A 26,379-nucleotide genomic window follows, 5' to 3' on the forward strand; every position below is an offset into this window, starting at 1 on the left:
AACACAGTGCTGGCAAATGCTCCGTTTGCATAATAGAAGATTAGGGTGGGGCAGCCAGGTTTCTCATGCACTCTGTAAATGTCCACACCTGATCCAACCAATCTTTGAGCCCTATGTAAATTAGACACTGCCTCCTGAAGCCAGTCTGTAAAATCCGCTGTGCTTCACTGAGGGCTGGAAGTCCCACTTGGGTGCCCCACTCTTTTTCAGGAGATTCAGGAGAGAGAGCTATTCTCCTTTCTTTTGCCTATTAAACCTCCAATCCTAAACCAACTTCTTGTGTGTCCATCTACTCGATTTCCTTGACATGAGATGATGTATCTCAGGTATTTACCCCAGACAAGTGACCCTGCTTCATTATGTTAAAACTAATTAATTTATTAGTTAAAATTGCTATATTAAGAAATATAGCACATTTTAAAGGCCACTGATGCAAAGTGCAAAAACTGCTACGTACAAACATGACATCAAATTATACTTCCAGTAACAGTGTTAGAAAATTCTTGTTTCCCTACACTTACCATTTATGAATAGTTTAATGGAACATGTTATTTAAAAAAATATTTCCCAGGCTGGGTGCGATGCCTCACACCTGTAATCCCAGCAGTTTGGGAGGCTGTGGTGGGCGAATCACCTGATGTCAGGAGTTCGAGACCAGCCTGAGCAACATGGAGAAAGCCCGTCTCTACTAAAAATACAAAATTAGCCAGCGTGGTGGCACATGCCTGTAATCCCAGCAACCCAGGATGCTTAGTTAGGAGAATCACTTGAAACTGGAAGGTGGAGGTTGCGGTCAGCTGAGCTCACACCATTGCACTCCAGCCTGGGCAACAATAACAAAGTTCCGTCTCAAAAAAAAAAAATTGAATTGCTTAGTCATGTCTTCTGCTTATTTTGCTATTGAATTATTTAACTTTTTACTGATTCATATAAGCTTTTGGCATGCCCATTACAGTAATCGTTTGTCCAAAATTATTTTACACATATCTCCATTCAGCTCCCAGTGTCCAGGTTCAATATTTTTGAAAGAAAAGGAGTCCCTGCTTTGTAAATATGCCTACTCTTTAAAGAGTTTAAATACTAATTAGTAAAACCCTGTTAGGGAAGATTAAACATTGTCTAATTGAATTTGATTTGTGGAAAATAAATATCTAACTTTTCCATTATGATTTAACCATGTTTACGAAGGCAGCCCATACATTCTGGGCTCAAAAGTCTCTTAAAAAAGGGAAAATGTATTCTATCAAAGAGGGTACCAGATTCCAAGTTTGCATTGCACTTTGCTGAACACATTGTCTTTTTTCAAGCTTAAACTTTTTGAAAGGTTACCAGTGTTCTCTCTGAAAACACAGAGCTGCTCATATTACAGCCCTGCTGCAAAACATTTGATGGCTCATAACACCCTACAGAGCTGAGCCCCCATCATAATTCTAAGCAATCATTCATGTTTCCAACATCTCTTATTGTCTCATCTCCACACGACCCTCCCAAACTATATTCTTTTCTCACACTCCACTTGTCCTACCCTGTCATCAAATAAGCCTCATATTTTTCTACTTCAAATCCTGTACTTAAACTGCTTTTTTTGGTTTAAATGTATATTTCTCCTTTCCCACATTCTTCTACTCCACATGGAAAAGCTGCACATGTGAGAGTATCACCTTTTCTTTCCACTGCAGCTTCTCACTTCCCAGTTCTCCACTTCTTCTTGCTGATTGTAAGGCACTGGTGAATTTTAGAACTGGAATCATATTATATCCATCTTTGCAGTTCTAGAGCCTGGTACCAGGTGTAGATGTCAAGAAATGGTTCCCAATGCAAGCTTGCTGATAGTGATCTTCAACAGATGAGACAAGAAAGGAGCCAGAATGCTAGTCTACTAATCCATATTGCTTTCCACTATTATTTTGCTGAAACTCTCCCAATGTCATAAGAAAAATAACAATGAAAATAATAATAATAGTAGTAAATACAGAAGATAAGTCAGTGAAAATTGAGCTGGTAGCATGCATGACTTCAATTCTCTATTTATTACTAGTTTCAAAATAGTCCTTATCCACAAATAGAAGAAAACAGACCCTTAAGTGTCTACCACAATGCAAGACCTGCCAATTTCATAACTTGCTCAGGCACACTTATAAAAGAAACTAGACACACTGGTGACCCCATCTCAAACACACTCAAAGGAGACAGAAGATCTTCCTCTCACTGTCCTCCAGTACATGTTGCTCCTCCTGCTTAAAAAAGCAATACAACAAAGAAATAATACCTTCCAGAGGCTATCACATTTGATCTTGGACAAATTTTTAGATTAGTAATCAAGTCAATTCAACTGTTGCCCTTACTTCACTCATATCACATGTTATGAACCACTTCGGATCACCCCAGTGCAAATTCTGAGGCAAAACCTTGATTTTCTATGTTATGTAAAATAACAATAGACCTGTCCTCAAGGCATTGGCCCTACCCAAAGCAAAATTAAATTTCCCAAACACTTATGAGTTTACAGTTTCAAATCTCTTCAAAAGTAGGTTTCATATGAGTCCTTGAACAGGGTTCAGCACTTTCAGTGAGATTAAAGTGGGTGTCCACAAGAGATAAGAGAGCCCCCCCACTACCCACCACACAGAGGACCAACAGAATTGTAGAATCCATGCCCACCATTTTTCACTTCTAGCATATCTCCCCCCATGTGAAAGACCACCTCCCTTCCACATACTATCCTTTCCAATGAGAACATGTTAAAAATTTCATCCTTGGCAGTATTTTTTCAGGGTTCTACTGTACTTTTCCACCGGGCCTCAGTCTACCAGCGTTCTGCTTTAGTGTCTTGTTGAACTCCCCCTTTTTAAGGGCAAACAAATCCCCGTCAGTCAGTTCACGTACTAACATGACCTCTGCAAGCCCCTCACTCCACAAAACACCAATCTCCATTCCTGACCATCACAGAAGGGAAGGTCTAACTTTTGTGGTCAAATATTAGCTAAAATGAGCTGTTGAATAGCTAGGCTGTAATTTATTTCTGGAAACCAGAACCCTGAGTTGACACACTTATATTCTTCCCTTGGTTTGACCATCTTTTCCCTTGATGTGCCTAATAGGGAGAACTCTGCACACAGGAGGTTTTCAGTTAGTGTTTGTTTGGTGAGCGGATCATGTCTCTATGGTAGGTAGTCTGGCAGGGGTAAGAAGCACAGTCCTTTTTCATGATATTGATTCTTCCTACCCATGAGCATGGAATGTTCTTCCATTTCTTTGTATCCTCTTTTATTTCATTGAGCAGTGGTTTGTAGTTCTCCTTGAAGAGGTCCTTCACGTCCCTTGTAAGTTGGATTCCTAGGTATTTTATTCTCTTTGAAGCAATTGTGAATGGGAGTTCACTCGTGATTTGGCTCTCTGTTTGTCTGTTATTGGTGTATAGGAATGCTTGTGATTTTTGTACATTGATTTTGTATCCTGAGACATTGCTGAAGTTGCTTATCAGCTTAAGGAGATTTTGGGCTGAGACAATGGGGTTTTCTAGATATACAATCATGTCATCTACAAACAGGGACAATTTGACTTCCTCTTTTCCTAATTGAATACCCTTTATTTCCTTCTCTTGCCTAATTGCCCTGGCCAGAACTTCCAACACTATGTTGAATAGGAGTGGTGAGAGAGGGCATCCCTGTCTTGTGCCAGTTTTCAAAGGGAATGCTTCCAGTTTTTGCCCATTCAGTATGATATTGGCTGTGGGTTTGTCATAGATAGCTCTTATTATTTTGAGATACATCCCATCAATACCTAATTTATTGAGTGTTTTTAGCATGAAGGGTTGTTGAATTTTTCAAAGGCCTTTTCTGCATCTATTGAGATAATCATGTGGTTTTTGTCTTTGGTTCTGTTTATATGCTGGGTTACATTTATTGCATTTATTGATTTGCATATATTGAACCAGCCTTGAATCCCAGGTGCACATGTACCCTAAAACTTAAAGTATAAGAATAAAAAAAAAAACAGTCCTGGGGACAAACTTAACAGTTTGAGTTCTAATAGCTGGCTGCCTCTCTGGGTCTCTATTCCCTCATCTTAATCTTCAGGATAATAATTACATCTACATCTCTTTTTCTTTCTTTCTTTCTTTTTTTTTTTTTTGTTTGTTTTTTTGAGATGGAGTTTTGCTCTGTTGTCAGGCTGGAGTGCAATGGCACAAACTTGGTTCACTGCAGCCTCCACCTCCCAATGAATAAAAAAGATAATGTGTAAAAAATAATTAGGATCCTGGTAGCTAGTGCTCAATAACTGTTAGATCTTAAGACTTCTGCTTCTACTGCTATCATGATGAGTGTGTTTGGCTTAACAGGTCTAGCGCAGGTAGAAGAGAAATAGAAACACTTAACCCCTGGTTTATCTGATTTAATGCAAATACAAGCAAACTTGGCTAAGAAATGCTTTTCACCAAAGTTTGTCTGCAATTTGAATGCTTTAGATTAAACTTAGAAGAGTATTTAAAAGTATTCTAGACAGGCCAACAGCAGTGGCACCCACCTGTAATCTCAGCACATTGGGAGGCTAAGGAGGGTGGATCACCTAAGGTCAAGAGTTCAAGACCAGCCTGGCCAACATGGTGAAACCCTATCTCTGCTACAAATACAACAATTAGCCAGGCATCGTGATAGGCACCTATAATCCCAGCTAGTGGGGAGGCTGAGGCAAGAGAATCGCTTGAACTCAGGAGGTGGGTGTTGCAGTGAGCTAAGATCACACCACTGTACTCCAGTCTGGGAGACAAGAGTGAGATTCCAACTCAAAAAAAAAAAAAAAAAAAAGGCACTCTAGACAGATTCATTTGTAATATAAGCATGTCATAGTTTCTGGTGTATAGGACTTGATTTCTGTTTATTTAGTTTTCTGAAGAAACACAAGAGACAGCCCCTAGCTACTACAAAACTTCCTAGAGACAAGCTGGACATATGAGCCCTTACAAAATTCCATTTACTGTAAAGATAATAATGAAATAATCTCTAAACATAAGAATTTGACTAGTGTTAACCACTCCACTTCCCCAATACACTGATGTTTATATCTCTTTCTTATCATAATACAAAACAAACACATGACCACACACCATCTGCTCTCCAGTGCAGAACAGAATAACAGAGGCACAAAGCAAGCTTCAGAACACACAGACCACCATGTTCACCACATCTACATCTGGGGCTGCTTAAGAAAAGGAGCAAAATCAATGAGAAACTGAGAAGATGTGTGACTACCCTGTTTTCAGCACTTATTGTCACAAGAAGACCGAACATGCACACACACTCTCTCATTCCAAGGCAGAGCATCCATTTTCCTGTCGAAAAAGTAATTTGACAGCATAGATCCCTATCTCACATTCTGAGCAAGATGACACTGGCTTTGGGCATGCAAAGAATGGGCATATTACAGACACCCTTAAGACACAACGCATGGCCTGCCTTACCTGATACAATTTTTAATTTCTCTGAAGTAAACTCAAATTACTTCTTAAGTAAACTCAAATTTCAAACATGTATTTCTTTATTAACATTCCATTAATTTCCTCATGGGCTTCACAGGAAATATATTCTACTTTCATTCACTTAATCTCACCATAATAGATGGTCTAAAATATCCAGAAGACAGCCATATGTAACACATACCCATACCCCAAAGCATAGAAAATGTAACACACAAAGGCCTTGAGGAAGCAACACTATAACAGTGCAAATACACAAATATTTAAGGAAGAATACATCACCCAACAGACAGCATACATGGTCACCACTATCCAGGACTCTCCATAATAAGTAGCTATGAATTGCTTATTCTAAAGTTGGCTTATATATATTCATCACCACAAATTAGTTCTGAACATACTGATTTTAATTTTGGATATTCACAAGGTAATTATCTGGTAAAATATATTTATAACTAATTTGTAATTAGACTACTAAATGCACGCATATGCTTAGGTCACAGTGAGGCAAAAATCTGAGTTATTTGTAGAGTAAATTAAGATTTAAATTTTTAAATATTAATTAATTTTTAAATTTTCAAAGAATGCTGTCATGCAGGCCTGCACTAAGTCAAGCAGATGACTGACAACCACCCTCTTCTCCCTGTCTCCTTTACACAATAAATGTGAAGGGCTCTAGAAGCTCAGGCCCTTCTTCACCAGAAGCAAGGAGCCCTCTGACCTATTCTTCCAAACATACTCTTTTGTCTTTGTCTTTATTCCTGCATTTATCCTCCTTTGTTCAGTCCACCAGGGTCAGTGGCAAAGTGGTGTCATGAATAGGGACTTCGAGGAAGTGAACGAGGAAGATCTGCTGGAGCACAGGAAGTGAAATAGACAAGATGAATGGGGACCCCAGGACAAATATGCTGGCAGTGGATATAAGGTCAGTGCTCTAAAAAAGTACTGGGAATGGGAAGTTTCTGAATGACGGTACCATGGGGCAGCATTTGTCTGTTGAAGAAAAACATTATGTGCAGTTGCCTAAAGTTGTGTTGAAACAGTCTGGATCTCAAGTTAATTCACAGACATTAGCTAAACTTCTGCAGGAGGTTATTACACATAACCCATTGTTTCCACAGGCAGGCCCTCTTGATGTGGAAAATTGGGACACAGTAGGAGAGGGATTGAAATGGGCTCATCAAAAAGTCTCAAAGTAGACCCTTCTGTTTTTTCTGCTTGGGGTTTGGTTCGCATGGTCCTACTGCTGCTGTCTCTTTATTCTGCCAGGCAACAGAAGTCAGTTTCTGAGTCTCAAGAATTAAAAAACTCATTTGTTCCTCCAACAGTGCATATTGAAAATAATGAGCAGGAGAAAGGGGGAGAATTGGCCATTTGCTAAGCAGAAAAAAAGAGAGGAGAATTGGCCTCTGCCACCCCCTCCAATAACAGAAGTAGAAACCCCCACACAACAAATTTTGCATGCTGCTGCTATGGCAAGGGAACTTTTGGGACCTTATGCTTTTCCTATTACCATAAGGCTTGATCTGAATGATCCACCACATTTTTGACATGAACACACTCTTGTAGAGTTTAAATTACTAAAAGAATTAAAAACTGGTGTGGTTAATAATGGAGTGCAAAGCCCATTCACTATAGGGCTGTTAGAATCGGTGTTCAGAGCCATGTGCCTTCCACCTTTTGATGAAAAACCTTTGGCTTGCACTTGCTTATCCACCAGTGCATATCTGACATGGAGTTTAAATTGGCAAGAAATGTGTGCAGACCAGGCTAGGCAGAATCGCACCGCTCTTCAAGGAAACACTACAGAGGAAATGTTGATGAGCTGTGGCCCCTTTTCAGATCTGGTACAACAATTAACACTCCCATCAGAGAGGCCACTTACCACCAGTCTTCCTTAGCCACCAAGCATGTTTGGAGCACAATTCCTGAAGAGGGAGTTACAGTGCAGTCTTTTCTACATGTCACACAGGGATCACAGGAGCCTTATGCACAATTTATCGCATGGCTGCAAGATGCAGTGCAGCATCAGATCACTCATGCCTCTGCTGCAGAAATGCTTACCATAGCTCTAGCCTATGAAATGCAAATGCAGATTGCAAGCATGCTCAAGCAATGGCTAGTTTAATAGTTGACAAATCTAAAAGGAGCCAAGGATCAAACCCTAAAGTGGGAGAATGTTATAATTATGGAAAAACTGGACATTTTAAAAAGGAATGCCACCCCAGACCTCAGGACAAAAAGGATCTTACAATGTGGTGCCCCCCCCCGCCCAGTGGAAATAATGCCAGGACTCTGTCCTCTCTGTAACAAAGGAAATCATTGGGCTCACCGATGCCACTCAAAATTTCATCACAATAGCACCCCCTGTCAGGAAATGAGAAGGAGGCCTGGACCCAGGCCCCTCAAGCCATGAGGGCATTCCCAGTTCAGACCACAACCCCACTTCAGGGGTGGGTCCCAGGAGGAATATTGATTGATTCCCTCTCCCCAGGAACACCAGGAAGTGCAGGATTAGATATCCCCACCAGAGATAGAATTACATTAGTTGGAGAAGACAAACCTTCCAAAGTTCCCACTGGCATTTGGGGACATTTGCCAGCAGAATACATGGGACTAATTTTAGGCAAAAGCTGCCTTAACTTGCAAGGCATCACTGTAGTCCCCAGAGTAGTTGACTCTGGTTAAGGAGAAATTCAAATAGTTTTAATGTCAAAAGATCTTTGTGTTTTTGAACCAGGGGAATATATAGCACAATTATTGCTTATCCCCTGCAAATTACACCCTTCTGCATGAAAGGAGAAATGAGGAAATAAAGGGTTTGGGAGCACAACTACATGCAAAATCTATCTATTCCAACCCTTAGCCTCTAATAGACCCACCTGTTTGGTACAAATTAAAAAAAAATGTATGGGCTTATGGACACAGGAGCTGATGTGTCAGTAATATCCAGTAAGGATTGACCCCCATCCTGGCCCCTCAGACTAATCTCCACATCCCTAGTGGGAGTAGGAGCAGCTCAAAGTGTTCAACGGAGTGCTGAGATTTTACCTTGTCTTGGTCCGGATGGACAATCATGTACTTTCCAGCCTTATGTTGCAAATATAGCTATCAATTTATGGGGTCGAGACTTACTTATAGCATTGGATATGAGACTTACAAATGAAAACTTTAATAACCTAGGATTTAAAATGTCAAAGGACATGGAATATCAGAGTGGGAAAGGTTTAGGAAAATTCCTACAAGGAAACCCTAACCCAATATCAATAACTGGAAAGACAGACAAAAAAGACTGGGGCCGGGTGCGGTGGCTCACGCCTGTAATCCCAGCACTTTGGGAGGCAGAGGCGGGTGGATCATGAGGTCAGGAGATCGAGACCATCCTGGCTAACACAGTGAAACCCCACCTCTACTAAAAATACAAAAAATTAGCCGGGCGTGGTGGCGGGCGCCTGTAGTCCCAGCTACTCGGAAGGCTGAGGCAGGAGAATGGCGTGAACCCGGGAGGCAGAGCTTGCAGTGAGCAGAGATTGCGCCACTGCACTCCAGCCTGGGCGACAGAGCGAGACTCCGTCTCAAAAAAAAAAAAAAAAAAAGGATTGGGACATCAGGATTTATTATTGGGGTCATTGATACTTTTCCACCACCCACTGCCTTACCTTTAGAATGGCTTAGTGACAAACCTGTGTGGGTGGATCAATGGCCCCTAACACAGGAGAAGCTAGCTCAACTTCATCTGTTGGTGAAAGAATAATTGGATGCAGGACATTTAGAGGAGTCAGTTCCCGGAATTCACCGATGTTTGTTATCCTAAAAATAGTCCAGAAGATGGCGACTGCTGCATGACTTGAGAGCTATTAGTGCACAAATTAAACCAATGGGTGCATTACAGCAGGGCTTGCCATCCCCAGCAGCCATTCCTAAAAACTGGCCTCTTGTAGTAATAGATCTTAAAGATTTTTTCTTTACTATACCATTACATGAGAAGGATAAGCCTCGATTTGCCTTCTCTGTGCCTTCTATTAATCAGAGACATGCTACAAGCCAAATGGGTGAGACATCCGGTCATGTATGGTGACACTGTCTGTCGCCGTTTGCTCATATGGAGATTTCTAAACAATTAAAAACTGACAATAGACCTGCTTATACTAGTCATGCTTTTCAAACTTTCCTACAGCTTTGGGCTATGACCCATAAAACAGGAATTCCTTACATTATAGACCAGGCACATCAAACGTTACAACGCATGTTGAGAAAACAAAAAAAAAGGGTGATTGGACACCAGCCACCACCTCAAACAAAACTAAGTTTATCTTTATTTACTTTAAATTTTTTGACTCCTTGTATGAATGGTAAGACTGCAGCAGAAAGACATTGGCAAGTGTTAGAGGAAATTAGGAAAGTTTATCTGAAATTATTATGGAAATCCCTGGAAGAAGGACAATGGAAAGGTATGGTGGATTTACTGCTGTGGGGACAAGGGTATGCTTATGTTTTTACAGCAGATGGATAAACCATGTGGGTGCCCTCAAGGTGCGTGCAACCATGGAATGGAAGACTGGAGGAACCCATGGTGGCCAACCATGGGCCCGGTCCCTCTGGTATGGGCCATGAGCCAGCTGAGCCTGAGTGCAAAAATGGACAGAAGGCCAACTGGAGTCATGGTGACATCAACCCCTATAACCTGGGGGACACTCAAGAAAACCATGCAGGAAGCTGAGAAACTACTGGAGCGTCAAGGCCAGAAAAAACCCCTGATTCCATGTTCTTGGCCATGTTAGCTATAATGCCCTGTGTGGTAGGTTTTCCCTTGCAGAGTCAAAAACATATTGGGCATAGGTTCCCAATCCTCCAGCAGTACAACCTGTACTTTGGAGTGACACTCCTCCTGAGATCTATCGTGATCAGGGAGCATGGGCTCCAGGACCCCTATGTCTGGCTCCCCCGGACATAGAACAGTTAGACTCTCAGAACAATGTCGTCAATTATACTACCCCACTGGAAGGACTCCCCTTGTGTATCACTACAAAGATGTCGCTCAACCATAGCTGTCTTACAACTGAAGCTCAAGCATGGTTGAGTCACCTTGGAAAAGTTATGTACTTAATAGTTCTTGGTTCTATTTATGTAACTGGTGTGCTAACCAACCATGCCCGGCCCAATTGCCCCAACTGTGCTGACTATATGGAATGGATTCCCTTCAATAGTTCTGACCTCTCTCCATTGACCCAGTGTCTTGGCCCACTGGGTAGAAAAGAATCTGTGTTAACTGGAGACATTGTGGATTGGGGAACTAAAGGTCAACTAGATGGAAAAGAGGAAAATCAGAAATCATGACACAAACTTCACTGCCATTGGTGGCAAGCTTTGAATACTCCTTCTTTATACCACACCGGGATCCAATCCCAGTCTGCCACCTGGATTGCTTGGCATGGAGCAGGCTTTAGCACACCTCTTCCTCAGTGGCATTATCTAGGGAGGAAAGGTCCAATTCAAGAAACAATATGGAAAGCAGCACTGCTGTTCACAAACGGTAGTATCCGGGTAGGAACACTCTCTAATACCAGTACTGCTACTCAACACAGTCTTAATGTCACATTTGTAAAGAATATCACCACTCAACTTATGGTTTGTGGTTTTAATCCTTATGTCTTTTTGGCAGCTAAGGCGGACCAGCTCCAGGTAAGCAATACTCAATTGACCTTAAATCTTGCTGGTTATATCACTGCATTAATCATAGCACATTGCAAACATGTAATATCTCTACTTTGATATTTGGGTCACATTCCTGGGCTATGGATTCTCATTAATCTGTCTGAGCCTTGTGATGCCACCCCTGTTTGGCACTTTGTGAAACTTCTTCTAACTAAACTTACTCATCATGCCTGTAGAGCCTCAGGCATCATAATTTTTGCTATTGTTTCTTTGGTCACACTAATCACTTCTGCTGTAATGTCCTCTGTAGCTTTGCATAGTTCTGTTCAAATGGCTCAGTATGTAGAGGACTGGAGGCATGCAGCCAACTAAGCATGGCTACTTCAGAGTAAAATTAACACTGAGTTACAAACTGAAGTGGTAATATTAAAATCCATGGTTCTGTGGTTAGGGGAACAAGTACAAAGCTTACAGTTGCAACAGAAATTGCACTGTCATTCACACTCATATTTGTGTAACCAACTTAGAATATAACCAAAGAGTATCCATGGGACCTTGTAAAAGCCCATTTGCAGGGAGCTTTCACATCCAACATCACCTTTGACATTGGTGAATTACAAAAAAAAGTTCTTGATTTAAATAAGCAAACTCAAGAGTTTCAGCCTTCTTTAGAAGCCTGGACTGAATTCCAGCAAGGCCTGGAGAGCCTCAATCCTTGGAACTATCTAAAGTACCACATTAACATCTCATATATAGTTCTGGGAATAATGTTGTTCTGTCTCTGTTTCCTGCTCATAGCCTGTAAAATCAGATGGATTGCCAATCAGAAAATAAAGCTGCCCAACCTGGCCTTACATTCATTCAATTAATGCAAAAACAGAAAGGGAGAGATGTTGGGATCCAGAAGCCTGAGGATTGTGACCAACACAGCATTCCACTGGAAGCTATATGATCAAAGAGCAAACTGTTTATCATGAATGCAGAATGTGGGCAAACTCACATCTGCACCTGACACTGGAAGGTATGCTAAGGGGAGCCACTCCCTGGTGCTGTGCTCCTTGAGATTATCTACTGGGACATCTGGAGCCTACTGTTTAAAGAATGCTGTCATGCAGGCCTACACTAAGTCAAGCAGCTGACTGACAATCAGCCCCTTCTCCCTATCTCCTTTACTCAATAAATATAAAGGGCTCTAGAACTCAGGGCCCTTGTTCACTAGAAGCAAGGAGCCCCCTGACCCCTTCTTCCAAATAAACTTTTTTGTCTTTGTCTTTATTCCCACATTCATCTTCCTTTATTCAGGCCACCAGTGTACATGGCAAAGTAATCAAAATACAGTAGTCAGTGAGCACCAACCATGCAATTGTGCTAGGTAAGGAGATGGAAAAAATATTTTTGAGGTGGGAGAAACATCCTAACAGATAAATTACAGCAGACAGACTTGACAGATGGGGGTAACAGTTATTAGGAACAAAAGACTGAATTCTCCCTAGAAAAGGTAGTATCTGAGATGGGTCTTACCAGAGGAGTAAATGTTCTTTGCTGGGGTAAGGGGATGGACACACAACAAAAAGAACAACCCATGCAACAGCACAGGGAGTAAATAATTATTCAGTGTGGCACTGATGTGGAAGGTAGAGACAAGAGCCAACACTAGAAATTTGGCTTGTCTCAGCACTTCGGGAGGCTGATGTGGGCAGATCATGAGGTCAGGAGTCCGAGACCCTCCTGGCCAACATGGCAAAACCACATCTCTACTAAAAATACAAAAATTAGCTGGGCGTGGTTGCATGTGTCTGTAATCCCAGCTACTCCAGAGGCTGAGGCAGGAGAATTGCTTAAACCCAAAAGGTGGAGGTTGCAGTGAGACGAGATTGTGCCATTGCACTTCAGCCTGGGTGACAGAGAAAGACTCCGTCTCAAAAAAAAAAAAAAAAAAAAGAGAAAAGAAATTTGGTTTGGAAGCAGATGACGGTCTTTGTAAAACAAGTTAAGGAGTTTGGATTTTTCTTTTTGTAGACAACAGGGAGCCAAGAAATATTATTAGGCAGGCAAACAACTAGAGAAGCTTTAGTTTTTGAGGATGATGACTCTGACAGCAGGGTGGAAAATTAACAGCAGCAGGGAGAAATTAGTGGCAGAAAATTAACTTAAGAGGTGTTTATGACTCAATGATGGCCTTAGGTCAGAAGTGATTAAACAGCCAAAGTCAGTGACTGGAGCATGGTTTTGGGGGAGAGCCTGGTGACTGATTGGACATGGGGGTGAGAGAGACATGCATCAGGACAGCCATCAGTAATGTTCCTGGCCTAGTAGGTTGTGTACATTGCAATCATCTTCCAGAAGGGATGGAGATTACTTTCATTATTACAAGTACCTACAGGATGAGGGATTTGTAGTATGATCAGGATGACAAAGAGTACAGCTTCAGATAAGTTGTAAGTGAAAATATAGTGTTAGAGTTGCCAGTTTATAGGTTAGAGGAGAGGTAAGAAAAGCACAAGAATGCACAGGTCATTCTGCAAGAACAAAACTCACTCCCAGGTATGGGACTGCAAAGGTCGCTGCAGAGAACAGGCATTGGGTAACTGGCAACTGACACCAATGGAATGCTTACAGTCTGTCCACAGATTTAAGATTTTTAAAACAACTATTCTCAAGTGTTGCAAATGTCTCTAAGGTAAGTGGGGGCCCAGAGCACTTTGGGGGCAACTGTCTGCTTACTGCAGGCAGCCCTTTCTTATCTGGAATTCAGTCTCCTCATCTTCCTGCCTTCTCCCTTGCATATCTCCTGCTTGTGTAATAGGGTGGAAAGTGGGAGGGCAGGACAAAGGTCAGACCAATAGCACTGGTTAGCTAAAAGATCACTCCTTTCATTCTACTAGACAGTTCTGGTCTGAGGCCTGGGATCCCAGAACATAAAATTATTACTCTGTCCTTTATTGCATCCCTGTATTATCCCCATTTCCCTCAGCCAGAGCATCTGGCTGACATCCACCCTCTCAAGAGGACATGTAGGACAGAAGACCAGGCTCAGAAAAACTGCTGTTTGAAAAGGGCAGGTAGTTAAGTAAGAATTTTGGAAGAACTTGAGAAATTAAAATTACGGAGACTATGAATGCAAAAACACTAACTGTCAAGCAAGTAAGAGCTAATTTAAAGAACTTTTTTAAAAGATATAGTCCACATAACTTGAAACATGCGGAAGACTGGCAGATGACTGCATCAGAGCGAATTTCCTAAATAACTGAGGAGGTGACTGGGAAAACTGAGCCACCTACCAAAACAGCTTTACAGAGCCAATGCATCTCAATTGTTGTAAAAGAAGATGAGTTCTAGAACTCTTATTTACTATGGAGTTTTCAAATACATTGAACATCACTTAATGTTTTCCTCAATCCCAAGCTTCTTGTAAAACTTTGACCTTGCCAACCATGGCACCTTAGAGGCAGATGAAAGCTTACCTATTTTATGGAATTTCAGATTTCTAAATATAGCACATGCAATACAGGGAATGCACCCAGTGTGCTTGTGGATGCAATAATGACCACTACTACACCTCTCAAGCAGGCTTTGTTGACTTCAGCTCTCCTGACATTTGGGGCTGTCCTATGCATTGTAATATGTGGAGCAGCATTTCTAGTGTCTGTACACTAAAGGCCAGTAGCACCCTTTCCCAAAGCAAGACACTAAAAATTTCAAAATTCTGGAAAGGAAATCCACAGTAGACACCCACAAAGCTTCCTGATCTCAAAATATACCACTTTATTCCATATGTAGGTTTTGAGTTTCTGAAACATTTGCTTTATGCTTACAACAATCCCATGAGGTAGAAAAGCTACTGACAAGATGCCTGTCATCATATTCATCAATGGCAATGCCACCAAAAGCTAAAGTTTCATTTTAAATTCCCTTATACCTTCAAATCAACTGAATTTATTTTGAAAAAAAATAATGGTCTTCTTTATTAAAAATAACAGCACACATATACAGAGGTAAATAAGCAGTATACATTTAAAACTACATTGTTTTGAGATCAAGCTGACTGTATAAAGCAGCTGTTCCATGGGGCTAAGCAATAGGAACTGTGGATCCTGAGCTTAATGTATTGCCAGCCCCTGGGTAGATCATAAAGCATCTATAACAGTAGTCAATATGCCCACCCAACCCTAATAGTTTTGCTCTGAGTAGAAATGTGAAATCTTTGCTGAGTGCTTTCAAAAAACAGGGTGAAAATAACTTAGTCCAAAAAGGTACACCAAAATAAACAAGGAATATTTTAAAGTAATTAAACCACCAGAAATATCAGACATTTTCTATAATCCTACCCCATTGTCTCTGAGAAAAGGGAAAAAGAAAATACAAAGCAAGCTATCCAAAGACAAATACAGCTTTTAAAAGCTCTATCTAATTAACCCCACCAAAAATTTTTTTGGCTACCTAGTATATGCAGGCTCTGCACAATGTGGGACAGTGGTCCCCAACCTTTTTGGCACCAGTGTCTGGTTTTGTGGAAGACAATCTTCCCACAGATGTGGTGGGATAGTTTTCATTTGGGATGATTCAAGCACATTACACTTACTGTGCACTTTGTTTCTCTTATGATTACATTGTAATAGATAATGAAATAATTATATAACTCACCATATTGTAGAATCAGTGAGAGCACTGGGATTGATTTCCTGCAACTAAATGTTCCCATCTGGGGGTGATGAGAGGCAGTGACAGATCCTAAGGCATTAGATTCTCATAAATAGTGTACAGCCTACATCCCTCACATGCACAGTTCACAATAGCAGTTGCACTCCTATGATAATCTAATGCTGCTGCTGATCGGTAATGCAAGTGATGGGGAGTGGCCATGAATACTGATGAAGCTTTGCTAACCCACCATTCACCTCCTGCTGTACAGCCTGGTTTGTAACAGGACAGACTGGTATCAGTCTGTGCTCTGGTGTTGAGGACCCCTGACGCAGGGCAACTACATTTATTTATTTATTTATTTATTTAGTGCAATGGTGCAATCTCAGCTCACTGCAAACTTCACCTCCTGGTTTCAAGCAATTGTCCAGCCTCAACCTTCCAAAATAGCTGGAATTACAGACACATGACACCACGTCCTGTTAATTTTGTATTTTTAGCAGAGGTGGAGTTTCACCATGTTGGTCAGGCTGGTCTCAAACTCAGGATCTCAGGTTATTCACCCACCTCAGCCTCCTAAAGTGCTGGGATTACAGGCATGAGCCACTGTGTTCTTCTGACAACTACATTTATTACCAGCCATTTATTACCAGGACACCTATGTTGTGCAGTGCCTGGCATACACCAGGTACTTAATAAACAGCTATTGATCTAATGCAGGACTAATAAGGTAAGGTGTATTTTTTCTCCTTCTACATGCTGTGCCTGTGTCAGATGCAAATAAGACCTCAGGAGTCTGCCTGAAGAGACTTAAAATAAAACTCTTTCATCAAGCAGTCACTTGGATGGTGTAACAAGTTACATATGAATGTGTCACCTGTAACAGCTTAGTGACATGCATGTTTACCATCACATAACAAACACATGTCTGCCATGCTCAGGGCTTAGAGTCTGAATTTCTAATGAGAAATAAAGTGGTACCTAGAAAACCCCAGAAATGATACTCCATATATCCATAAGCATCAGTAGCATTTCCAAAAATTGTCCCACATCCAACAAATCCTTTAAAAACAAGATATGCTAACATGCATCCAGTTTAGCGGAATTTCTAAAAATGATAAACAGTGCAACTTCAAACACCTGAAATGGAGCACAAGACCCTTTTGAAGGAATTCATATCCATTCCTGCAAAAGTTCTGTGGACTCTTGAAGGTAGCACAGAACTAAGCATTTTTTGTGTGTTTCCAAAAGGTTTTAGCCTAGCCTTTGGCCTCTAACAGACTCTCTGATTAAAATATGGCTTAGAAACTCTACCTGCCTACTTGAAAAAGCATCAAATCTGGAGAATGCTTTTCACGGGTGTGAAAAAATGAAAACAAAATCACATTCTTCTCTTTGCAATTCCCTTTCCCCCACCTTCCACTTCTATTAAATATACTTCAGCATCATTGTGCATAGGTGCAGGGACCATTACATATCTAAAAAAGGAAAAAACCCTCAAATATATGGGGATGCACTGGCAACTTTGCCTTTGCAGAAATCATTTTGTTTCCACCAGACAGAAGCGTCTCACTATTTTCAGCATTCTCATCTAACAGGCAAATTTTGTTTTTATTGACTTTGAAAGGGGTAAGCTTAAATCTAAACTCTTAAACAAGAACCAGGGTTCAATTTTCTGTTAATGAAATTCCCAGACAGGTTTTTCAACCTACCAAATCATTATAGTTTTTATTCACCCTTCTCTCTCTCTTCACAACCACTAACATCACCACCCACAAAAGAAGAAGACAATCCCTCCAATGTTCCCCAAACGTGTGCTGCTGCTAGCTCAGAAGTTGTGTAGAGTTTTGTAATTGAGTGTGAACCGCTGGCCTGGATCTGGGCTCGTGAATCACATGCTCGATGCGCCTCTGCCCAGAAAATGCGCTGCTTCCCAGGGAAAGCGTCGGCTATGGGAAGGACCTCCCCTGCTCCTTAGCAAACATTAGGGTCGCAGTTTCCTAAGAGACACGAGTGGGAAATGGGGGAGTATTGGAGACCAGCCTCAACACCACCTGTGGGGTACCTGAAGTCCGGTGGTGACGAAGTAATGAGAAGAGACAAGAGTGCAAAAGGATGGGGGCCAGGGGGCCAGTGCAATTCAGAGGCTGCAAAGGCGCTGATCTCTGGCCTCCACACTATTTATTGAGTACAATCACTTAGATCTAAGAAGCAGATGTTCAGGGGTGAAATGGTGAAAGGGAGGTGGTGTGTCACACACCTAATCTATAGCAGTGGCGGTTTAGGTAAATTTTCTTTGTGCTGAAGCAGCATAAACTTAACTACTGATTTATTCTTTAACTTATCGGAGAGCAGCTGTGGGGGGTGGGCCTAACTAGGAACTAGCAAGTATGGCCACATTCCAATGCTTCAAAGGAGTGTCTTTCTCCTTGAGCACAGTGTTTATAGATAAGAGAGCAGGTCACGCTCTTGTCATGGGAACATGATGGTAATAAAGAGGCTTTCCTCCTCAGAGGCCTCCTGTGGCTTTCCACAACTTATAGTCCCATATTTTTATGGCCAGTTTATACAGGCACTCCATAAGCCTTTTTCCCAGCAGGGGAGGGGGCCCAGGCAGAGGCTGGTGCTGGGGTTAGAGAAAGCTACACTAGGTGTCTGGCTGGTGTGGGAGCAGGAAGGGAAGCCCCAGAACAAGCCACAAATTGTTCCAGCAGGAGTAGGCCCCCTGCCTTTTTCCTGGACTAACGACGGCACCCGGCACTGAGCCCCTCACTTCTGCAAGGAAGTGCTCTCCACACCGACGGTCCTTGTGAAACACGCACCCCACTGATGGAAGGGTGAGGAATGATAGGCGCCCCATGGCCAGGCCGTGGCCCCCTTCTTTCCTGGGCGCCTTAGGTGGTAGTCAGCCACACCACAACTGCCAGCCAGGAAAGGGTAAGGGCGTAGGGCTGCCTGCTGCCCCCTCAGTGCCAGTGTCCTCTGCCCAGAAAGGTCAAATCGGCAGAGCAGGGTGCGGAAAGCACCCTGGTGAGAACACCCTGGTGAGAACACCCCAGGAGGCCAACTCCTGGCCGGCACCCACGATGCTTTCTGGCTGCAGAGGAAAGCAGGATCCCTAGTTTCCAGGCTTCCCTGCCAGAGAGAGACTGGAAAGACCATAGAAGGAAAGTTTCTCCTTTCACAGGGGGAAGGATACAGGGAGACAGCGCAGAAGTTGGAGAGCAGCATCGAAATGTTTCTGGCCTATGTGGCTTGCACCATCCGATTCCCGGCAGTGTTATAACAGATAAATTCATCCCAGTATTCCGGGAGGCCAAGGAGGGCAGAACACATGTGCGCGGAAGTTTCAGACCAGCCTGGGCAGCATGGTGAGATCCAATCACTACAAAAATAGTTAATCAGGTGTGGTGGGCCACGCCTGTATTCCCAGCTACTCGGGAGGCTGAGGTGAGAGAATCTCTTGAGGCTACAGTTAGTCATAAGCTTGTGCCACTGCACTCCAGGCTGGGTGACAGAGTAAGACCCTTTCTCATAGAATAAATAAATAAATAAATAAATAAATAAATAAATAAACATATAAATAAACTCGGCCGCCTGGGTTGGGCCGGATTCTTAGCTTCCAAAAGCTAATATTGACGCACTTCAGGTCTTGCTAGCACAGCGCTGCAGAGACTGCCACAAAGTGTGCTGGGTGCTGCTTGTTGTTGCCAGTGGCTAGGTAAGAGGCGGAGTAAGAATGTAGGAGTGGAGAAAAAGGAGGAGAAAAAGAGAAGAGTAGAAGAGAAGGAGAGGTGGGAAAGGAGGAGAGATAAAGGGAGGAGGAAGTGAGAGAAGAAGAGAAGAAAAAATGCGAAGAAGATAGAAGAGAGAAAGTGGTGAAAAAACCGGAAGGGAACAATGGGACTAGAAGAGAAGAGGAGAAAAAACCTGGAAGAAGGAGTAGAGCAGGAGAAAAAGAGAAGGAGGAGGAGGAGAGGAAAAGGAGAAAGGTGAGGAGAAGAAGGAGGACGAGGAGAAGAGGAGAAGAAAATAGGAGGAGGAGAGGCGAGAAAGAGCAGGAGAGGAGGAGGAGAGGAGAAGGAGGAGGAAGCAAAGTAGAGTATAAGAGGAGAAAAGGGGGAGGAGAAGAGATGAATGAGGAGAGAAGGAGGAGGAGGAGTAAGGAAAAGTAGAAGAAAAAAGGAGAAGAGGAGGAGAGGAAAAGGAGTAAGAGAAAGCAAAGAGAAAAAGAAGGAAGAGAGGAGGAAAAGGAGGAAAAGAAAATGAGGAAGAGTAGAGGCAGAAAAGGAAAAGCAAAAGGAGGAGGAGAGGAGAAAAAGGAGGATAGAAGGAAAAGGAGGAAAAAGAAAAAAGGAGGAGAAGAGGGGACAGAGGAGAAGGAGGAGGAGGAAGAGAAGAGAAAAAAGAGGAGAGGAGGAGAAGGAAGAGGAGAGGAGGAGAAGGAAGAAGAGAGGAGGAATGGAGAAAGGAGGAGGAGAGAAGAAGAAGGTGAAGGGGATGAGAGAAGAAGAAAAAGGAGGAAGAGGAGGAAAAATGAAGGAGGAGAAGGTAGAGGATAAAAAGGAGGAGTAGGAGTGGAGAAGAAGGAAGACAAAAAAAGGAGGTGGAAAAGAAGGATTAGAAGAGGAGAAGGAGGAGAAGGAAAAAGAGGAGGAAAGGAGGAAGAGGTGGAGAGAAAGAGAAAGCAGGGAGGAGGATGCGGTGGACTAGGACGTGGAGGAGAGGAGAAGGAGGAGAGGAGGAGGAGAGATAAAGAAGGAATAGTAGGAGGAGAGAAAAAGGAGGAAAAGAGGAGAGATAAAGAAGGAATAGTAGGAGGAGAGAAAAAGGAGGAGAGAAGGAGAGGAGATGGAGGAGGAGGAGAGGAGTAAAAAGAGAAGGAGAGGAAAAGAAGGAGAAGAGAAGAAGGAGCATAGGAGGAGGAGGAGGAGAGGAGGTGGAGGAGGACAAAAAAGCAAAAGGTGAGGAGAAGGAGGGGGAGAGAAAAAGGAGGAGAGGAAGGAGAAAGAGAAGGAGGCCAGGAGAAAAAGGAGAGGGAGGTGGGGAAAAGGAGGAGAAAAGGAGAAGGAGAAGGATAGAAGGAGGAGAAGAAGAAAAGGAAAGGAGAAGGAAGAGAGAAAGGAGAAAAAGAAAAAAGAAAAAATTAGAAGAAGAAGGAGGAAAGAACAAGAAGGAGGAGAGGAAAAGGAGGAGAAAGTGGATAAGAGAAGGGGAGTGGAAAGAAAAAAGGAGGAGAGGAGGTGGGGGAGGAGAAAAAACGAGGAGGAAGAAGAAGGAGGGGAAGGAAAATAGGTGGAGAAGGAGGAGGAAGAGAAGAAGGAGAGCAGGAGAAGAGGAAGAGAAGGGGGAGGAGAGGAGAAGAAGGAGGAGGACTAGAGAAGACGTAGGAGAGAAGGACTTGGAGAAGAGGAGGAAAGGAAAAAGAGAAGAAGGAGAGGAGGAAGAGAAGAAGGGAAAGGAGGAGGGCGAGGAGAAGGAAAGGAGTAGGTAACAAAGAGAAGGAGAGAAGAAGAAAAGTAGGAGAAAAGAAAATGGAGAAAGGAGAATAAGGAGGACAGGAGGGAAAGAGAAGAAGGAGGAGGGAAAGAAGAAGCGGAGGATAGAAGGAGTACTTAGAGAGGAGGAAAAGGTGGAGGAGGATAGCAGAAGGAAGAGAAAAAGGAGAAAGAAAGGAGGAGGGGGTGGAGAGAAGAAAGAATAGAGGAGAAGGAGGAGGAGAAGAGGAGGCAGAGGAGGGGGAAGAAGGAGAAGAGGAGGAGGAGCAGAGGAGGAGGAAAAGAGGAGAAGGAGGAGTAGACAAGCAGGAGAAGAGAAAGAAGAAGAAGCAGAGGAGAGAAGGAGAGGAGGAGGAGAGGTGGAGGAGGAAAAAAGAAGTAGAGGAGGAGGAGAGGAGGAGGAAAGGAGGAGAGAAGGGGGAGAGGAGGAGAAGGAAAAGGGAAGGAGACAGGAGAAGAAGGACAGGGGGAGAGGAGGAGAAAAAGGAGAGGAGGAGGACAGGAGGAGAAGGAGGACAGGAAAGGAGGAGGAAGAGGAGTGGAGGAGAGGATAAAAAGAAGGTGGAGGAAAAGAGGAGGAGGAAAAGGAGGTGAGGAGAAGGAAAAGGAGAGAAGGAAGAGGAGGAGTAGAGAAGGAGGACAAGGAGGAGCAGAAAAGAGAAAGGAAGAGGAGAAGGAGAGAAGGAAGAGAATTAGAGAAGAAGGAGAAGGAGAGGAGAAAGAGGATGAAAGGAGAAGGAAAAGGAGGAAGAGGAGAAAACAAGGAGAAGGGGGAGAAGAAAATACATAGGAGAAGAAAGAGGAAAAGAAGGAGAGGAGAAGTAAGAGGAGAGGAGGAGGATGAGAGGAGGAATGGAGCAGGAGGAGTAGAGGAGGAGAAGAGGAGAAAAAGGAGAAAAGCAGAGAATAAGGAGGAGGAGCAGAAGCAGAGGAGAGAGAAAAGTAAGAGATGGAGAAGATGAGGAGCAGGAAGAGGAGGTGGAGGAGGAATAAAAGGAGGAGTAGGAGAAAAGGAGAAAGAGTTGGAAAAGGAGAGGAGAAGAAGGAAGAGAAAAAAGAGAAGGAGGAGAGGAGAAGGAAAGGAGAAGAAGAAAAAGGAGGAAGAGAGGAGGAAAGGAGGAGTAGGGGGAGAGGAGGAGAAAGAGGGGAGGAGGAGGTGGATGAGAGAAGAAAGAAGAAAGGAAGGAGAGGAGGAGAGGAAAAGTAAAGGAGGAGAAGGAGTAGGAGGATAGAAGGAGGAGAAAAAGAGGAGAGGAGAATGAGGAGAAAGAGGAGGAGATAAGAAGAGAAGGAGTGAGGGAGGAGTAGGAGAAGAGAAGTAAAAGGAGAGAAGAAGGAAGAGAGGAGAAGAAAAAAGAGAAAAGGAGGAAGAGAGAAGGAGGAGTAGGAGAGGAAAAAAGAATAGGAGGAGGAAGAAGAGGAGGGGAGGAGAAGGGGGAGGAGGGAAGGGGAAGAGAAGAAGAGAAGAAAAAGGAGATGGAGGAGAGGAGAAAAAAGAAAAAGGCAGCGAGAAGAAGGAGAAGAGGAGAAGAAGGGGAGGAGGATGAAGGAAGAAAGAAAGGGAGGAAGAGGAGAGAAGAAAAAGTAGGATGAAGAGAAGGAGGAGGTGAAGAGGAGAAGGAAGAAAAAAGAAAGAGGAAGAGAGAAGAAAAGGGGGAGAGGTGAGGAGGAGGAGAAAAGGAGAAGGAGAGGAGGAGAAAAAGGAAAGGAGGAAGAGAAGAGAAGGTTAGGAGGAGAGAAAGAAAAGGTGAAGGAGAGGAGGAGAAAAAGGATAAGAGAAGGAGGAAGAGGAGGGGAGGAGAAGGAGGAGGAAGAGGGGGAACAGGAGGAGAGAGAAAGAAGGAGGTGGAGGAGAGGAGAAAAAGGGAAAGGAGGTGGAGAGGAGGAGCGGAGGAAGAGGAGGAAGAAAGGAGAAGGAGAAAAGGAGGAAGAGGAGGAAGAAAGGAGAAGGAGAAAAGGAGGAAAAGGAGGAAGAGGAGAGCAGAAGGAGGAAGAGAGGAGGAGGAGTGGAGGGGTAGGAGGAGAAGAGGAGGAGGAAGAGAGAAGTAGGAGGAGGAAGAGGAGGAGAGAAGGAGGATAAGAGAAGATGGATGAGAAAAGGAGGAGAGGAAGAGAAAAAGAGGAGGAAGAGGATAGGAGGAGGCGGAGAGGAGAAGGATGAGTAAGAGAGGAAGAGAAGAGAAATAGGAGGAAGAGGACAGGCGGAGTAGGAAAAGGAGGGAAGGAAAAGGAGTAATAGAACAGGAGGAAGAGGAGGAGAAGAGAAGGAGGAGAAGAGAAAGAGGAGAAGAGAAGGAGGAGGAGAAGAGAAGGAGGAGGAGCAGAGGAGAATATGGAGGAGGAAAGAAGGAGAAGTAGAAGGAGGAAAAGAGGAGAAAAAAGGAAGGAAAAGGAGGAAGAGGAGAGGAGAGGAGAAGGAGGAGGAGAGTAGGAGGAGGAGAAGAGGAGGAAGAGGAGGAGAGGAGGAGGAAAAGAGAGGGAGTGCCTGGTCTGTCCCACGGACCCTGGCTGAGCAACGGATGAAAGGAGTACTCAGACACAGGTACACAGTGTTAGAGCAACTAGGGGTCTGCCTGGCTCTAGTGGCCAAAGTGCAGCCCCAAGAAGCTTGAGCTGCTTGCTTTTGTTCAGTGCAGGCACAATGCCAAAAGCCTTGAGCAAACACAGTCTGTAGATAATTAACAATTATTGTTTCCATTTCAGGGAACGTCACACGCGAGGATGTTCAGAGGTCAGTTCAGGGACAACTTCAGACAAACAAGCCTGATCAAGACAACTTATTCCTCACTCTTTTGAACATACTTCTCACCCTATTCTTCAGGGTTAGAGAACAGCAGTCTTCAGCTATTCTCTCCCAAAGCTACTCAAAGTCTTTTGACCTTTCAGAAGGCCTGCTCCCTTCTTCTACAGTTTTTCCCACCACTCTGACTGACCTCTCACATCTCCCCATTTTCTGTTTTTTTTTTTCATCAGGTTTTGTTGATTGAAGAGTACAGATGTGTGCAGCAACAGGTTTGACAGGCGCAGCTGTTACAGCTTGTGTTTTGGCTTTGCATGCTAGAATTAGTAAATAACATAAGATAAACATGAGTATAATCAGTAATATTCTTTCCCAATCAAAGAGTGACCCGCAGGAATGGGGATCTATCCAGGAGAGATGTTTTTGCACATTGTTATATAGGGCTGTTAATGAGAAACCCCACCATGGGTATGTTAATCTCTTCTAGCCAGGTAGTCACATTGTTAAAAGCTGGGAAAGGGGTGTCTGCCCAGGTAATAGGGTGGAAGAAAGGTGGATCTAGAAGGTGGGCCTAATAGAGTGTAGCAGGTATGGGTTGCAGGCAGAGTGAGAGAATAAGAAAAACTAATACCCTACAAGAGTTGCAATGTACAACAGACAGCATAGCAAGGAAGATTATCTGGAGTGAATGGTGTTTTTGTCTGGAGCAGAATTTGCTCAGTCTCCTGAGTTGTCTTTTTCAGCATAATGTCCAGGGCCTGTATTGTCTGAGGAAGCCACATCATCTGGGGCTGTGGGTCCAGCAGGGTTATTTTATTTTTGGTACCAGGTTTGGTTTCAGCCACATCGTAGTATGACTTGATGCATCACACTAGAATCCAAAGAGGACCTGAGGGAAAGTGAACACAAGCATATCATCTTCCCCTGTTAACAAATCATTTGGACCACACCATACATTACTATTTACATCTTTCCATAAAATTGAAGGTTTTATATCTTGAATGATTTTTGCAAAGTGCTTTATTATAGCTGATTGAAATTTATCATCTAAATTTAAGAAATTAAGGGTAAATAAGGCTTGTGCCAATAGTATTGCAGGGTTGTTACTCATATCCCACCTTTTTTGTTTTCTGAGCATATTTTTAAGGGTGGAGTGGGCACGTTCTACTATGGCTTCTCCTTGGGAGATATACAAGACACCCATGGAATGTTGGATGTTCCATTTGTGACAAAATTGTTGAAATTGTGAGCTGGTGTAAGCTGGACCATTATCAGTTTTAATTTTTTGGGCCACCCCATGAATGCAAAAGTTAAAAGAAGAGGTTTAACGACATATCGGGCAGACTCTCCGGGAAGAGCAGGAGTGCCAATTAGATGGGAATTGGTATCAACGGATACATGTACATATGTTAGTTTTTCAAATTCAGGGACGTGCATAACATCTGTTTTCCATATCTGATTAGGTTCTAGTCTTCTAGGGTTAACATCTGTTGAAGGAGGGGATGTGCCTGTGAGAGGGCAATCTGGGCTTTGTAAAATAATTTGTATAGCTAGTTTTTGGGTAAGTTAAAATTGTTAAGTTTCTCCAATTTTGCTGAAAAAATTGATGTGATTGGGTGGCTTGGTCAAGCAGTGACATCATAACCTACAGGTCTGCTTGATCTTAGGTGTGAACTAGTGGACTGGACAGTGAGCTGTGGGCCCGAATCTTTGTAATAAAAATAGGATGTGTTTGTTGAACCAGCAATTGCTGAAGTTGGAAAAAAAGGACACACAGGGTGAGCTCAACAGTGGACTTAATGAAGGCTGTTTCAAGGTTTTGCAATAAATAAACAAAGTAGTTTATCAGTGGGAAAGGTGCATGTTCTCTTTCTTTTTCTTTTTCTTTTTGAGACAGAGTCTTGCTCTGTAGCCCAGGCTGGAGTGCAGTGGCACATCTTGGCTGACTGCAACCTCCGCCTCCAGGGTTCAACAAATTCTCCTGCCTCAGCTGTCCGCGTAGCTGGGAATATAGGTGTGTGCTACCACACCTGGCTGTTTTTTGTATTTTTAACAGAAATGGGGTTTCACTGTGTTAGCCAGGATAGTCTCGATCTTCTGACCTCATGATCCACCGGCCTCGGACTCCCAAAGTGCTGGGATTACAGGTGTTAGCCACCGCACCCAGCTGAGAAGGACATGTTCTATATGGCCCACATAATCAGAGAGTTCTATCTGAAGGTATAGAGGTAGGGGGATGACTGCTTTGAATTGCTTTTTACTTAAGGGTATTCTTACGAAATCCAGGTCATAACCTTGCAATTGATTGCAATTGATTGACTTTACTACTAGATAGACACAGGGAGATGGTATTTTAGTCCTGGTATGTG

General features: G+C 43.1%; 1 protein-coding gene across 4 annotated transcripts in view; it reads left to right on the plus strand.

The window, feature by feature from the left end:
• RPSA2 (ribosomal protein SA 2) overlaps positions 1-12,412 on the plus strand; it is a 112,693-nt gene extending 100,281 nt beyond the window's left edge. For 2 of the 4 annotated variants that reach the window (NR_170712.1, NR_170713.1), the window contains 2 exons: positions 6,262-6,401; positions 9,979-12,412. The gene's annotated coding sequence lies outside the window, so the exon portion shown is untranslated. Of the gene's footprint in view, positions 1-6,261 lie in introns of all 4 variants that reach the window. The other 2 variants (NR_170714.1, NR_170711.1) reach the window with 2 other exon arrangements.
• Positions 12,413-26,379: the final 13,967 nt, after the last annotated feature.

Source organism: Homo sapiens, chromosome 19 (assembly GCF_000001405.40).
Source record: "Homo sapiens chromosome 19, GRCh38.p14 Primary Assembly".
Classification (NCBI taxonomy): Eukaryota; Metazoa; Chordata; class Mammalia; order Primates; family Hominidae; genus Homo; species Homo sapiens.